The sequence below is a fragment of the Homo sapiens genome, chromosome 1 (assembly GCF_000001405.40).
Source record: "Homo sapiens chromosome 1, GRCh38.p14 Primary Assembly".
In the NCBI taxonomy this organism is placed as follows: Eukaryota; Metazoa; Chordata; class Mammalia; order Primates; family Hominidae; genus Homo; species Homo sapiens.
In genome coordinates, this window is record NC_000001.11 from 47,014,764 (window position 1) to 47,031,514 (window position 16,751).

The 16,751-nt window shown below is 42.4% G+C and overlaps 1 protein-coding gene and 1 long non-coding RNA gene across 6 annotated transcripts in view, besides 1 other annotated feature; one reads left to right on the top strand and one right to left on the bottom strand.

Moving 5' to 3' along the window:
• CYP4X1 (cytochrome P450 family 4 subfamily X member 1) overlaps positions 1-16,751 on the top strand; it is a 94,069-nt gene that overhangs the window by 53,400 nt on the left and 23,918 nt on the right. For 3 of the 5 annotated variants that reach the window (XM_017000973.3, NM_178033.2, XM_047417352.1), the window contains exons 1-3: positions 8,906-9,231; positions 15,227-15,368; positions 16,673-16,717. In XM_017000973.3, the coding sequence (XP_016856462.1) occupies positions 9,055-9,231; positions 15,227-15,368; positions 16,673-16,717 (364 nt within the window). In that variant the 5' untranslated portion in view covers positions 8,906-9,054. Of the gene's footprint in view, positions 1-8,905; positions 9,232-15,226; positions 15,369-16,672; positions 16,718-16,751 lie in introns of those variants that run through there. The other 2 variants (NM_001320289.2, NM_001320290.2) reach the window with 1 other exon arrangement.
• Positions 4,231-7,500, bottom strand: LOC124904172 (uncharacterized). The gene is made up of 2 exons (XR_007066062.1): positions 6,785-7,500; positions 4,231-6,332 (listed from the first exon to the last, which is right to left on the bottom strand). It is a non-coding gene; the product is annotated as an uncharacterized LOC124904172 (long non-coding RNA).
• Positions 9,200-9,700: an enhancer, noted in NCBI's record as "H3K4me1 hESC enhancer chr1:47489635-47490135 (GRCh37/hg19 assembly coordinates)". NCBI's record gives its function as "activates a minimal SCP1, AML or CMV promoter by ChIP-STARR-seq in naive H9 embryonic stem cells {active_cell/tissue: H9 hESC(naive)}" and the evidence as "EXISTENCE:reporter gene assay evidence [ECO:0000049][PMID:30033119]".

Genomic DNA, 16,751 nt, shown 5'->3' on the forward strand with positions numbered 1-16,751 from the left:
CTCACATCTCCACCAAACATTTTAAAAACTGGGTGGAGAAGTATGAGCCTTCACAGGAGATGAAACAGAGTAACACTGTTGGATACATTTAAGATTTCACTGCCCTGTCCTTCAAAGGAACTGGAAACATCAGCACAGGTCGTATAGCCCACAGGTCACATGGAGAAAGGAAAAGTGACCTTGGAATTCTCAGTCTGGAGAGAAGGAGGTTAGGGGTAGTCTTTTTTGTTTTTTGGTTTTTCTTTTGGACTTCATTTCCCTATCTGTAAGATAGGACTAGATCCAGATAACCCATATGGGTCTGTGCAGTTGTAGCATGAATCCGTTTTACCATAACACTGCTTTCCATATCTATCTGTCTTCTCCACCAGATTGTGTGTTGGCCTACCTTTGATACAGTTTTGTATCCTGGTATTTCCCAGCATTGGCAGAGGGACAGTGCAGAACAGTGAGAGTAGGAACTGGTTCTATGCTTCCTTACTGAAACTTTCCATTGTCTTACCTCCAGGATGTTGACTGGAGAAAATGATGGAACCATGTGCTAGTGGCCTTTTGCATGGAACTTACTATGTAAATTCTACTGGTTCCTAAGTCTTTTAACAGCTTGCTCGTCAATGCCCCCAGCAATAACCATAGCAGCTGCTCCGAATCCCTGCCCCTGCCGTGGCAGAAGATGCCTCAGGATTCTCTAAAAAAAACTCAGGTTATCCAGCATTAGAGATACAATCTGCCTGTTTCCTCCTCCCATTCTTTCTCTTATGCTTATGTGCTTGTCTTCCCAGTTTAACCCCTTCAAAACCAAAACTACTGTGTTAATTAGGGACAGAATGAAGTGATCACTTCCCAACCTTGATGCATCCATAAAAATATCTAGGACTACTCAGGAGGCTGAGGTGGGAGGATCACTTGAGCCCAAGAGGTTGAGGCTTCAATAAACTGTGGTAGCACCACTGTACTCCAGCCTGGGTGACACAACAAGACTGTCTAAAAAAATGGCTAGGACTGGCTATCTATGAAGTTTCTGTACCTCGCCCCTTCTGGCTCATCCATTCTATTCAATGCCCCATTCATCCCCTTCAGCCTCCCCGGCCACGTGTTTTCTCTCTTACTGCCCCTCTCTTAGAATCTTCTATCCTTCCTATTAGTGCCACCTCCGTGAGGAAAAACCAACAGACTCCCTGTCTTGAGAATAATCATCATTTTATTTTACTCATCTTCTATTTATCTACCTTCCCACCCTCTAGCTTCTACTTATTCTCTTAATAGAAAAAATTCTTGACCTGGGATATCTCCATTTCTTCATTGTCCACTTGCTTTGTAGGTCATTGCTCTAAATTTCTCACCCTGCTGTTTCTTAAAACTCCCTGACCCCTGGTATGTCTCCTTAGTTCAAGTGAAATAAATGTTTATAAAACATTTATTGTGTGCCCAGCTCAAAGACGGGCTCCAGGCAGAATTCAAGAAATTAAAAAAAAAAAGTTTAAACCATCATGGTGTTTTAAAGCCTAATTAGGAAGATAAGCTGAACATGCAAAGAGATACAGAAGGAAGCTGTACAGGATTTTTTTTAATTCTTTTTTTTTTAATTTTTTTTTTGAGATGGAGTCTTGCTCTGTTGCCCAGGCTGCAGTGCAGTGGCGCTATCTTGGCTCCCCACAAGCTCCACCTCCCAGGTTCACGCCATTCTCCTGTCTCAGCCTCCCAAGTAGCTGGGACTACAGGGGCCCACCACCACGCCCAGTTGATTTTTTGTATTTTTAGTAGAGACGGGGTTTCACCATGTTAGCCAGGATGGTCTCGATCTCCTGACCTCGTGATCCACCTGCCTCAGCCTCCCAAAGTGCTGGGATTACAGGTGTGAACCTCTGGCCACATAGTATGTGTATATATCTATGGGGTACATGAGATGTTTTGACACAAGGCATGCAATGCATAATAATCACATTGGATAAATTGGATTTATTATTTGTGTTACAAATAATCCAATTATACCCTTTTGTTATTTTTTAAAGTACAATTAAATTGTTATTGACTACAATCACCCTGTTATGCTATTAAATACTAGGTCTTATTCGTTCTTCCTATTTTTTTGTTCCTCCACACCCCCAACTGGTAATTATCCTTCTATTCTCTATCTCCATGAGTTCCATTGTTTTGATTGTTGGATCCCACAAGTGAGAACATGTGATGTTTGTCTTTCTGTGCCTGATTTATTTCACTTAACATAATGACCTCCAGTTCTATCCATATTGTTGCAAATGACAGGATCTCATTCTTTTTTATGGCTGAATAGTACTCCATTGTGTATTTACACCACATTTTCTTTATCCATTCATCTGTTGATGGACACTTAGGTTGCTTCCAAATTCTGGCTATTGCAAACAGTGCTGCAACAAACATGGGAGTGCAGATATCTCTTTGATATACTGATTTCCTTTCTTTGTGGTATATATCCTGCAGTGGGATTGCTGGATCATATGGTAGCTCTATTTTTAGTTTTTTGAGGAATCTCCAAACCATTCTCCTAGAATTTCTGATTGTGGAATGAATGACAAATGAAAACAGGGATGAAATATCAAATGAGAGGCATAAAAACCAAGGCTTTAATTGTTCATGAAATAGATTCCTGTAGGCTGGTGGTTAAAGAAATATTTGAGAAACAAATTTTTTTTGAGGAACACTTTGACAAGAGCAAAAGACACATAGGGCAGGGGGTGGAGATGGGGGTGGGATTGGGGAAGATAGATTCTTCTTGCCTTTTCTATCTCAGTGAAGAGAAACTATGAAAGGAAAATATGCTGGGCCCCCAAATCACTAAGCTAAAGGGAAAATTCAAGCTGTGAACTGTTTAGGGCAAACCTGCCTCCCATTCTATTCAATGTCGTCCCTCTGCTCAGTGAGATAAATGCATATCTAATTGCCCCCTTTGGAGAGGCTAATCAGAAACTCAAAAGAATGCAACCATTTGTTTCTCACCTACCTGTGACCTAGAAGCCCCCTCCCTCTGGCAAGTTGTCCCACCTTTCCAGAGTGAACCAATGTTCATTTTTAGATACGTTGATTGATGTCTCTCTCATGTCTCACTAAAATGTATAAAACCAAGCTGTGCTCTGACAACCTTGGGCACATGTCATCAGTGCCTCCTGAGGCTGTGTCATGGGTGCGCATCCTCAACCTTGGCAAAATAAACTTTCTAAATTAACTGAGAGCTGTCTCAAATTTTGGGGGTTCACATAACATAGGGATTGTCCTAGACTTTCCCACTATGCCTACATCCAGTCACCAACTCCCATCAAAAACACACCCCAATATCTCCCCCATTCATTCTTGCTTGCCTGTACCACTGTTCCTGGACCAAACTGAGGGTCAGGCTGCTTATTCTTGTGACCCAATAATGAGATGAAGATGAACTGGGGAGGAAGAGAGTTTTTATTTCTGTAACTGGTTACAGGGAGAAGGCCTAGGAAATATCACCAGACAAACTCAGAATTACAAAGATTTTTCAGAGCTTATGGACCTTCTATAAAACTCTTGGTGGGCTTTTGTTACGTTCCAGCCTTTGTTTAAGAGTACTGGCTCTATCAGTTTTTAATATGTAACTTAACCATTCAGTCAGTGCTGAAACAGTTGTTACAGAAGCCTATGTTAGTGAGACCTGACCTGCCACAATCTCCACTGTCAATTTCTGCATGATTTCTGTCATGCTTGTATATTTAGTCATCATGAGAATTTTAGTGAGATGGGGTGTAGTGATCTTTCTGGCTACATCCTGATGAGAGGGAGTCACCATTATGGGGCACCGAATGCAGCGCTGGAGTGGAAGAGGTTGACCTGTTCCCAGTAGTACTCTCTGTTTCAGGGGCTTAGAGGCAACACCTGCTGAAACATAACAATATGTAACAGCAGCACATATAAATAGGTTGCTGCTGTTTTCTTCTGAAGTTTAAGTTGTCTAGTCTTCAGTTTGCAGGGCTTTAATAAAGCATGGTTTAGGTTTCAGTGAGTTCCAATTAGGAAAAACGGGGAAAAAAGAAAAAAATTGAAAACATTATCTTGGAGACTTGTAGCCAGAAAAATCAGAATTCAATCCAAACTGTAGAAAATACAAGCCGCTGACCATTGAAAACAGCTCCATCCCAGTGGCTCCTGGCTGCCTCACCAAATTTGTTCAGACCAAACCGAGGGTCAGGCTGCTTATTCTTGCAGCCCAATAATGAGATGCAGATGAACTGGGGAGGAAGAGAGCTTTTATTTCTGTAACTGGTTACAGGAAGAAAGCCTGGAGAATATCACCAAACTCAAAATTACAAAGTTTTTTCAGAGATTATATACCTTCTAAGCTATATGTCTATGTGTAAGTGTGCACTCATCTAAAGACATATGTGATTAACTTCTTTTAATCTATAACTAAGAGCTGAGTCCTGAAGACCTTCCTCTGGAGCCTCAGTAAATTTACTTAATCTAAATGGGCCCAGGTGCTGCGGTGATTACCCTTATCTTGTCTCCTGCTAAATCATGGAGGTTTGTGGAGTTCCTTCAGACCCCCAATAAACTTGTTTGTGGAGGTCTGGGGAGTTTCTTCAGATTCCCAATAAAACTTGTTTAATCCTAAACGGGTCCTGATAAGAATTCCTTCATTATCTTGTCATGCTTCAAAGCCCAGGAAAGGCCTAGGCAAAACTCTTGCTGGACTTTTGTTACATTCCAGCCTTTGTATAAGGGCACTGGCTCTATCAATTTCTAATATTTAACTTAACCATTCAGCCAATGCTGAAACAGTTGTTATGGAGGCCTGTATTAGTGAGACCTGGCCTGCCACACCACTGCAACACCCCAGTCTGGGCCACCATCATATCTTATCTGAATATTGCAATAGCATCAGAACTGATCTCCCTAGTTCTAGTCTTACCACTACCTTCCCCATCCCAATTTATTCTCATAAATGTTAAGGTCTCAGGACCTAGAGTTAGACTGTCTGACACCATTTTTTACTCTCTGATGTCCTTGGACAAATTGCATAATCTGTGCCTCAGTTTTCATACAGGTATGAAATAATGGTAACATCTACCTTGATTATTATGAGGAAGAAATAACTGAGTACATATAAATCACTTTAGAATTGTACTTGGCACTTAGTGAGGATACAAAAACTATTTAGCTGTCCTTATTATATTTCAAGTAGCTTTCAGAATAATCTACTACTTAACTATGTCATTTTCCACCTTAAATCTTTTCAGTGGATTCCCATGGCCTTAAGTAAAGCCTGAATTTCTTAACTGGGCCTACCAAGCTCTCATGGTCTGACTTTCACCCTATAGGTGGTCTTAGCACCCATCCTTCTCTCTGAGACTTGAAGCTCTAGCCATGCTAAAGAGCTCCCACAGTCCAGTTAGCTCAGGCCATTTTATGCTCTGTTCATGCACTTTTCCACCATGTAGAATGCCCTTTCCTACTTCGTCCACATAGAAGACACATTCTGACATTTTAAGACACAGCTCCACTACACCCTAAGCCACATGAAGGCAGGGCCATGTTGATTTTGTTCAAGGCCACATCTCCAGTGCTCAGGGCAATACATGGCACATGATCACTTCTCAATAAATATTCACTCAGTAAGTGAATGAATGGATAAAAGCATCTCCTCAGCTACAAAACTTTTTTCACATTTTCTTCTCACCTGCATCCCCACTAGCCTGGACGGATTTCATTACTGGCTCCTTTGTCTGGCAAGGATATCAGCATCACTTTCTGTGATAGCTACCTTAAAAGTACTTAAGCGACCCTTGTCTCCCCAGTGCATTGAGCTCCCAGCATGTGCCCAGCACAGGGGCCTGGGACACAGTAAATGTTCAACCCATGTTTACTAACTGAGCACATGAGCAAATCAGAGAGCAGTGAATCTCTGGAATCCCACATTGGTGGGCTGCAATGCTATCCTGGGATACAGCTCCACAAAATTCTAGACTTTTATCCCCATGGTTCCATGTTCTTAAAATTCATTTATTATTAAGTAATAATAGACTTCCACATCTTAATGGATCAAAAATATAGATTGCCATACTGAATTATTATAATTTCGGTCAAAGGTTAGTTACCTTGCACTGCCCTGTTTGTAGACAAATGTATGCTTTTCTTTGGGCTGTGTGTAGGATTGAAGCAGCTACTCATTGGCCTTCATTTCTTGTCTCTTGTGTCTGAGATGGAAGGAGCCATCAGATGAGCATTGGGAGAGGCACAGGCCTCCTTCTGGGAGTCTCATGGGGCTTATTTCCATCTAGAGGCACCACTATCCAGGTTGATGGGATTTTTTTTGGTATCTCCAATTCCCTGTACTGTAGCCAAGAAAATTCAATTCAGTAGATATTTGTGCAGGAATGCCAAAAAAAAAAAAAAAAAAAAAAAAAAGGAAGGAGGCGCTGCTCTGTTTTTGGCCTCCAGAATCATATTTTTGAGTTGTAGCAAGTATCAAAAGCCAGTCTTTGGCCAGAATAAATAATTTTCTAAATTCCTTTCTCTCCCATTAGCCTGCCCTGTTGGAGTAGATTACAGAACTTTATTCTCCACCAGGGATAGCAAAAACACAAGCAATAACATAAGGATATTTTCTACCACATGAAATGGAGGTTGTGGGGAAAACCCACCTCTTGCAGCCTGGTGGACTGAGGCAAAAAGTGGCAGAGGTCGGGTGGTCAAGAGAGTATCTAATTATCCCCCTCTAGGCTAAAATCCTGGGATTGGGGTTTAGATAGAGTGAAAGGAAAGTTGAGAGCACAGGGGATTTTACCTTGCATCTTTTTTTGGAGAAACCAGAGTGAAAATGGCAGTGAAGCAGAGAAGGCCTGAACTTCAAGCCTCTTCAACACCTTCCAGCCTCTCTTAGGCTCCTAAATATAGTGCAAAAAGTTCCAGAGTTCCTTTGTTACCCATGAAAGCACATGGAACGGTGCTGGACAGGGGCAACTGGCCCTGGAGCAGAGGAGTAACTGCATAGAACTGTCCAAGCCTCAGAGGGAGTCACACCACCAGCAAGAACCTGGGTGGGAGTAGGTGAGCCAAGGGGTTCCCAGGCTCTGACCCTGCCAAGAGAACTCATTAGAAGGTCACCAACCACACATACTATTCCTCGGTCTCATGAAGAACCCAGGGACCGGACCAGGCAAGATATCACAAAGCTGAAGTTTCAGCTCTGGGGCAGAGCATGGATCTGAGGTCTTTGGCCCTACCACCATGCGATCATATGAGGGCCATCATACAACCATCATGATTTGGGGGAGGAATAGGGCATAGAGGAATCATATGAAAAGCTGAAATGCCATGAGTTACCCAGAAGAAGCTGTGTAAGCCAGAGGATTCTGAGACCCTGTCAAATAACAACATCTAGTTGAAGGTTGGAGTTAGGTAGGAGGTAGGGAAGTCTGGGAAAGAAGGAGCTGAAACACTTGCTGTGTGTGGCTTAATGGAACATGCAAGGGGCCAGGACGAACTTGGTCCAGATGAAGTCACCACCCCTGGGGCCTGTCTTTTTTTTTTTTTTTTTTTTTTTTTTGAGACGGAGTCTCACTCTGTCACCAGGCTGGAGTGCAGTGGCGCGATCTCGGCTCACTGCAATCTTTGCCTCTCGGGTTCAAGCGATTCTCCTGCCTCAGCCTCCTGAGTAGCTGGGATTACAGGCGCGCGCCACCACGCCCAGCTAATTTTAGTACTGTTAGTAGAGATGGGGTTTCACCATCTTGGCCAGGATGGTCTTGATCCCTTGACCTCGTGATCCGCCCGCCTCGGCCTCCCAAATTGCTGGGATTACAGGCGTGAGCCACCGCGCCCGGCCCCCTGGAGCCTGTCTTAATCACTTACCCGCCAAATAAAATCTGGCTCCAGAGAGTGGAGCGTAGGCTTAAGGAATTGGGGGCGGAAGGGCGGGGAAGGTGGGGGAGGGACAGTGATAGGGAGAACAGGGAATTGTAGCAGAAATTGGGTTTATTGTTCAGAGCTGTCAATGAACACTTAACATATGCCTGTCTTAGCCTAAATCAATGAATAAATGAATGAATAAATAAATGAATGAAATGTGGGCAATGCCTATAAAGATTGCTGGGACAGGGAGGTGGGGGGAGACACCAGCTTGGGAAGTCAGGCTTGTTAGATCCTAGTTCACCACCTGATACGTTACAAATACTAAAACCATCACTTTCAAATTATTTTTACTACATTTTCCTGTTATCTGTACTCGAGTTTATTTATGTTTCTGGCATCTAGAGTCAGCCCTTCATGGGCATGAGACCCAAGCAGCCACACGAGGCTCTGAACCCAGAAGAGCATATGCTCGGTTTAATGGTCTGTCATCTTAGAATTGTTAATAAAGTTTTTATCCCGCATTTTCATTTTGCACTGAGATTCATAAATTATATAGCAGGCCCTGACTGTACCTGTATAGTGGAATTACTATATGATGGTACGCTACTGTGCATATCTTCCCCGTTCAGTGTTCAGTGCCCTCGTATCGGCAGCTTGAACTAGCTCATGGTACACGCTGGGAATCAGGGTGGGAATCAGTTGTAAACCATTTACCGGAACACCACTAGGCAGGCCACAGGATAAAGGAATAATGATGGTACACCTCCCCCTACCTCTACCACCTGGGAATTTTGGTAGAATGCCAGAATGGAAAAGAAAATCTCTTGCATAGCCATTTATAATTTGTGATAAGGAAGAAAAACAATGACCTCAGCTTTAGCATTATTTTACAATATAAATTCAGATCCCGTGACTGAAAACTGTTGGACTTAAAAGAGGACGCTCCAGGAGCGCAAAAGCAGTTGGGCCGAACGAAGCGTGCGCGCTTTGGTAACCGGCTAGAAATCCCGCACGCGCGCCTGCCTCCTCTCCCCAGGCCTGAGCTGCCCCTCCCACTGCCTTTCCTTCTTCCCGCGAGTCAGAAGCTTCGCGAGGGCCCAGAGAGGCGGTGGGGTGGGCGACCCTACGCCAGCTCCGGGCGGGAGAAAGCCCACCCTCTCCCGCGCCCCAGGAAACCGCCGGCGTTCGGCGCTGCGCAGAGCCATGGAATTCTCCTGGCTGGAGACGCGCTGGGCGCGGCCCTTTTACCTGGCGTTCGTGTTCTGCCTGGCCCTGGGGCTGCTGCAGGCCATTAAGCTGTACCTGCGGAGGCAGCGGCTGCTGCGGGACCTGCGCCCCTTCCCAGCGCCCCCCACCCACTGGTTCCTTGGGCACCAGAAGGTAGATGGGAGGGAGGAGGGAGGAAGGAGGAGGGAGGGGCGGAGGAGGATGCGGCAGAGGAGCCCAGCCGGCAGAGAGACGCAGCTTTCTTCCATCCCTGGGGACCCTCCGGCTTGCACTGGCCTTTCCAGCCCGGCCTGTGGCTCTTAGCATCATTTTTCCTTGCTCTGGAGAATTGCTTTCCCGCAGCCCCACAGGGAAAGGTCACAAAAGAGGAAGCTTTGGGGGCTGGGAGAGAGCTATTTAAAGAACCTGAATATGGAAAAAGAAAGCGAGCTGTAACTCAAGTCTGTCTCTCATTGCTTCACCAAGCCTTCCACATGTGTTGCTTTAAAAATAGCATGTTATTCTAAATAACTTATTAGTTGCAGAAAATATGCAAAATCTATCCCAATCGTTGGCACCCTTAGTCCATTTTAACAAGAGAAAATTTTCTTTTCCTAAGATTCTTGTGAAGTAAGGAGCAGCCCCAGCCAGCCACTCGAGAAATACTGATTGATGGAAATTTGTAAAGGGAGACTGTTAGCTTTTGGTCTCTCCCGTTTTTTAAATCCACTCCCACCCCTAATTAAGGTTTTTATTCATTCAACCGACTCTGAGTGGCAATTGTGTGATAGGTACTAAGATTACAAAGAGAAGCTAAGTCCCTCCCCTGCACCACCCAAGTCAGGTGCAGACTTAGGCCACAGAGAGAAAATGAAAATTTAAGGCAATGGGTGCTTTACTAGAGGCCTAGAGACAAGGGAATATCTGTCGGAGGAAAGTATACATCTCCGCCTAGAGAAGGAAGGAAAGTCTGTGAAGGGCTGAGCAGAGTCTTAAAGGATGGTTGGGTGGTGTGGGGAAGGCATTCCAGCAGAGCTACTACACGATCCTTTGGTTTCCCCACTTTCTAGTCTTTCTTATATAAAGCAACCACTTTCAACTCTTTTATCGGTTTCTTCTGGTATTTAAATACTTATTTGTAAAATAGTATTACCATATTGCATCTATTAATTTAATAAGTTTAGACATCTGCTGTGGTTTAGATATGGTTTGTTCGTCCCCACCAAGCCTCATGTTGAAATTTGATTCCCAATGTTGGAGGTGGGATCTGATGGGAGATCTTTGGGTCATTGGGATGGATCCCTCATGAATGTCTTGGTGCAGCTGTCTCCTTCATAAGTTCTCACTCTCTTAGTCCCTCTTCAACCCCCAGAACTGATTGTTGAAAAGAGCCTGCCACCTCCTCCCCTCTCTCTTCCTGTCTCTCACCATGTGGTCTCTGCACACAACTGCTCCTGTTCACTTCCACTATGAGTGGAAGCCGTCTGAGATCCTCCGCAGATGCAGATGCCAATGCCATGCTTCTTGTACAGCCTGCAGAATTGTAACCCAAATAATCCTCTTTGTGAATGACCCAGCCTCAGGTATTCCTTTACAGCAACACAAATGTACTAAGACAACATCCACCTATGAACTTCTTTATGACAGGCAATCACTTACACTTCATATTCCACTGTCCCAGTAACTATATAGTATTGTATTTTTTAAATAGAAAAACTTCTATTTGTATTATTTTTATTATGCAAATGTTATTTACTGCTGATCTAAATGGTCCTCTTTCATTTTATTTCTTTTCTCATAGAACTTTTCCCCACCCCCACAGTATTGTTAACTTCTTCCTTTTCTAATCTGCTTCATTTTTCAATATTTGTCACTATTTTTTTCCAAATCCTCTAATAGATCTGTCAAACACATCTAAATAATATTTCCAAATATGCAAACATGCCAAATCTGTTCGTTTTTTTGGAGATATTTTTGCCACAGACCTCTCCTCCTGTTCCAGTCTGGACTGGTTGTTCTTTAAGCTTGGTATGCAGATATTGTTCTAGGACTCCCCATTGATGCTATCCTGTGTTATGTATCTCTACTGTCTCATGAATACTATGTCGTCTGTTGTTTTAATTGAATTGTTTTGGCATCCTTGTCAAAAATCAATTGACCATAAATGTCAAGGTCTATTTCTGAGTCTTCAATTCTAATCCATTGATCTATATGTCTATCCTAACTCATGGACACAGAGAGTAGAAGGATGGTTACCAAAGGCTGGGAAGGATAGAGGGGAGCTGGGGGAGGAGGTAGGGAAGGTTAATGGGTACAAAAAAAATAGAAAGAATGAATAACACCTACTATTTGATAGCATAGCAGGGTGGCTATAGTCAATAATAACTGTACACTTTTAAATAAAGAGTGTAATAGGATTGTTTGCAACTCAATGGATAAATGCTTGAGGGGATGGGTACCCCATTCTTCATGATGTGCCTATTTCACATTGCATGCCTGTATCAAAAACATCTCATTTACTCCATAAATATATACACCTACTATGTATCCACAAATATTAAAAATTATAAATAAATAAATTATATAGCTATCCTTATGCTAGTACCACACTGCCTTACTGTTGCTTTGTAGTAAGCTTTGAAATCAGGAAGTATGAGTCCCCCGCACTTTGGTATTTTCCAAGATTATTTTGGCTGTTTGGAATCCTTGAGTTTCTATACAAATTTTAGACTCAGCCTATCAATTTCTACAAGGAAACCAGCTAGGGTTCTGCTTGGGATTGCACTGAATCTGTAGATCAGTTTGGGGATTATTGCCATCTTAAGAATATTAGGTCTTCTGATCCATGAACACAGAAAGCCTTTCCGTTTAGTTAGGTCATCTTTAATTTTTTTTGTTGTTTTTTTTTGTTTTTTGAGACAGAGTCCTGCTCTGTCGCCCAGGCTGGAGTGCAGTGACGCAATCTCGGCTCACTGCAACCTCCGCCTCTCGGATTCAAGCGATTCTCCTGCCTCAGCCTCCCAAGCAGCTGGGACTACAGGCACATGCCACCACACCAACTAATTTTTGTATTTTCAGTAGAGACGGGGTTTCACCATATTGGCCAGGCTAGTCTCGAACTCCTGACCTCGTGATCCACCCGCCTCACCCTCCCAAAGTGCTGGGATTACAGGCGTGAGCCACCACTCCCGGCTTTCTTTAATTTTTTTTAACGATGTTTTTGTATTTTTCAAAGTATACATCTTGCATTTCTTTTGTTAAATTTATTTGTTTTGTTCTTTTTAATTTCATTTCAGACTATTTATTGCATTCATAGTGTTTTAGAGTCCACATTCCCTCTTGACTGTCACTAAGTTTTTTTTTTTCTGTTTTTGAGAGGTTTCTATCAGAATTTTGCAGATCAGAGATGACGGACATGTCAAACTGTCTAATATTACCAACCCTCCCCATTTATCAGATCAGGATCCTTTTGGTGATTCACCATGCAGGGAAATCTAGTATCTAAGGCTCAAAAGGTGATACTGTTTTACATAGGCAGTAACATTTTATTGCTACATAATAACTACATATTTATGGAGTACCTGTGATATTTTGATACGTGCATACAATGTGCAGTGATCAAATCAGGGTGTTTAGGGTATTCATCACTTCTAACATTTATTATTTATTTGTGTTTGGAACATTTCAAGTCTCTTCAAGCTCTTCAGAAATATTCAATACATTATTGTTAACAGTGCTATTGAACACTGGAACTTATTCCTTCTATCTAAAGACAGTAACATTTTAAGTATAGTCATAAGGTTACAGAAGGATAAAGTGTGTATAGGGAAAATTCCCTACAAGATAAGAATTTCATTCCTTACTCTTAGTAATACAGGTCTTCAAACATGCCAAGGATATTCCTCCCTTGGAGCTTTGAACATGCACGTCTGTGGTTATATTGCTCTCCCTGCAAATTATTCCTAAAAGAGGCTTGCCCTGACCATTCAGACTAAAATAGCACCTCTAGTACTCTCTATCTCCAACCCTATTATTATTATCTTGGCCCTTATCACTCTCTGACACTATACTGTATACTCTTTTGCTTGTTCATTTATTATCCACCACTAACTACAATATAAAATCTGTGAGAGGTAGGATCTTTGTTTGCCACTATAAACCTAGTGCATGGTACAGTTCCTGGTGCATAATAGGTGCTCAATAAATCCTTTGTTGAATGCATAAATATATTAGGTGCTGAGAAAATTTATTTATTCAAAGATCAATTTACTGCATAGAATAGGCCAGGTGGTTTGACATTTATTCAATAGCCAACATATGGGACCTAGGATGTACATATGCAAGTGTGTGTGTGTATGTGTGTGTGCATCTGCATGTGTACTTGGATGTACTGCAGAGAACATCTATGTAGCTAAGTAGTATAAAGCACTTGGGCTCCAGAGTTAAACTGGAGTTTGAATCCTCATTAGTGGTTGCCAGCTGTACACACTTGGGCAGATCATTTAACCTAGTCTGTAGGGCTCAATTTCCTCATCTCTAAAGTAGGGATTGTAATCATATCTACTTCATAGGGTTCTTGATGTAAATATTAAATAACATAGAACATGGAAAGCATTTAGCAGCACCTAGTTCATAGCAGTGCTTGATAAATGTTCGCTGTTGCTATTTGGGGGCACTATGCATTTTCTGAACATTTCTGAACAATGTTTACTAAATATATGTAGTACCCGTTTTCAAGTGTATTTAGATGCTTCTCTGGGGATGAAGAAATATAAATTAAATATAGTACAGTATTCACAACAGTTTTCTGTCCTTTTTGTCTAGTCAGGAGTTACAAAAAGTATAATGAAATACTTTCATATGGCTGGGGTGTTTATGAAAATTTTTTACCTAAACAAACAATTGTCATATTAGTTTACAATATTCATGAGGGCAAAGGCCTTGTCTTCCTTATATTTCTCTGTATCTCTACCACCTGGTACGTGTGATAGACAATAAATACTTGTGTGTTTATTGTTTGTAAATGAATAAATGAAAAAATATTCACATTGTTGAAAACCACTACTCTGGATAGTCAGTGGGTGCTTATCACTGGCTTGATTATGGCAACATTAACAAAAAAGTGCAGTATTTTAGAAACTAGGTTTCAAGACTCTCAACCTTTCAGTGGCCTTGAACTATCCAGAGAACACTTTATGGGTTAAAATTGCTAAATGATAACAGAGAAAAATGGGAGCCAGAGTTGTCCACCTCTCCAGAGGATGAGAGCAAACAATCCTGCAGCAGATACCGTGTGATTGGTCACACGAGGAAAAATCTGGCAGCCTTAAGATTACTTTGCAGCGGGGGACTCCCACCATCATGCTCAAGTGTGTAGATGGGCACACCAAAACACACACATGCAGGTGCCCTCCACTTTACACAAGAAGCAAATGTAAATGAATCTTGTTTTCAGTGATTTAGAGAAACAATTTAAGTGAGCCATTACTCATCTGCTTCTAAAAGCAAAAACTCCTTCTCTGGTGGTAGTATTTGCACTCTCATTTGTAAATGTTGGAAGCTGAAAGTTTTGTATTTGAGTTTGCTTTAAGATTCACACATCTGTGTAAATGGACCTTCTGTTGTTGGGGGGAGAATTTGGATTTTCTTTATAGATAGAGTTGGCAATTTTTTAGAGAGAAGCATTTACTGCTAAGTCATGAGAAATAATCACTGGTGCATAATTAGAGAGAGGAACAGGAAGAAGAAATGGTGAGCTGGATGTAGGGTCATGCCCCATTTAGTAACTGTTAGTTTCCCACATAGGAAATACTTCTTTTTAGCTTCCAGATCCCACTCCAATCTGAGTGTGTGATGTTGGCAAGTGAGGCAGAGAGTGTGACTCGGCTCACCCTCTATTGGGACAAGAGTTCACAGTAAATGTCATTCAACAGTGACTTGGTCTGGGGGTACAGGATATATTAATATTGAGAAGATAAATACACTAACTTTGTTTAGAGAATTATCCCCCAAGCTTAGAAGTCCCAAAGAAAGCATGTTATGTCACTTCCAGAAAAGTCTCAGGCTCCTCTGCTTGTGTGACCTTATCAGGTCCTGAACTCAGCTTGTGTCTATAAGAGGGGACAGGTCCAGCTTGGCTGGCTAATTACTTTTACTTTTTTCACTGCAGTTTATTCAGGATGATAACATGGAGAAGCTTGAGGAAATTATTGAAAAATACCCTCGTGCCTTCCCTTTCTGGATTGGGCCCTTTCAGGCATTTTTCTGTATCTATGACCCAGACTATGCAAAGACACTTCTGAGCAGAACAGGTAAGAAGAGGGGGAAAGCTCTGGGACCTATTCCTCCTAGAAGTGAAATGCATAAAACCCATAGGCAAGATTCCAAAGCAAAGATTGGTTTGGGGCCTTTAAGAGACACAGCAGCAAGTATGGGGAGGTGACAGGTTTCCTACCAATACTGAAGGGGATTCCCATATCCTCCCCAGTCCCTTGTCTTGTTCAGGTATGCATGGGCACGTTGAAGTCGGTATAACTTAAAGCCTAGCTGGCATTACCAGACTTGCCAGGCAAGGCTTCCCTTGGCCTCTGTGGGTTTTATGACTTCAGTGTCAGCAACACTTCCCACTCCTACCCCTGGTCTCGAGCATAAGTCTCAAGAGGGTGGGAAATCAGCAGTAACTCTACCTCTGCTGGTTCAGTATGAAAGCCTGAATGCTAGATCATTAATTTACCCATCAGACCTCTTGATAGTGATCCAAATTTTAGCTTTCCTCTCCACATATTTCTCAACTATGTCCCCTTTTCAGGTATGAGTCATCTACTTCCCCACCCAATCCTTTTTTAAGGCTTTCATTGTGGATTATTTCATAGCATAATACTAAAATGTCCAGTTTTTGCCCTGTCAACTTTGTAAAAGGAAGGTTTTTATATTCCAGTCTTCCCTGTGCATTGTATCCACCACTCCTAATAAAACCTAATGAAAGAAAGAGCCTTGCCCTGACTATCTCCATGTTTCCAGTCCCCCTGCTCTGATTTGTGTCATGAGACTTATGCTCGAGACCAGGGGTAGGAGTGGGAAGTGTTGCTGACACTGAAGTCATAAAACCCACAGAGGCCAAGGGAAGCCTTGCCTGGCAAGTCTGGTAATGCCAGCTAGTCATGTTCACCTGTTAAGGACAAGAACAGTAGAACACCTCCACTTTGGGGTTCACAAAAACACCAAGAGGCATTGACACCTCAATACATGGTGTCTACTGACCTCTGCTCTGATCGTTAATTTTCCTTCTGTAAAGGATATATGTTGTCCCAACTACGGTTATGGAAACTTTGCAACCCTCAGGCAAACTCTGTTCTTGTTGGAGGAAGTGTAAACAAGGGAATAATCAGGGTTTCTGTACTTGTCTGCCTCATAGGGCTTGCTGTTCTCTGAAACTGAGCCAAGACTAACACAAGTCTTTCCCCAGGCTGCCAAAGGCAGCAGGAAGTAAGCCCTGGGCTCTCTTTTTCTCACTTTTTGTGGTTGGTGCAGAAATGCAGAAAACCGTCACCAACTTGAACTGATAATGAATGCTCCCTCTAATGATGTCTTTTGTTTCCTCTGCTTGACTCTGCAGATCCCAAGTCCCAGTACCTGCAGAAATTCTCACCTCCACTTCTTGGTATGTATGTGCAAATGAGAGGTATAACCCACTC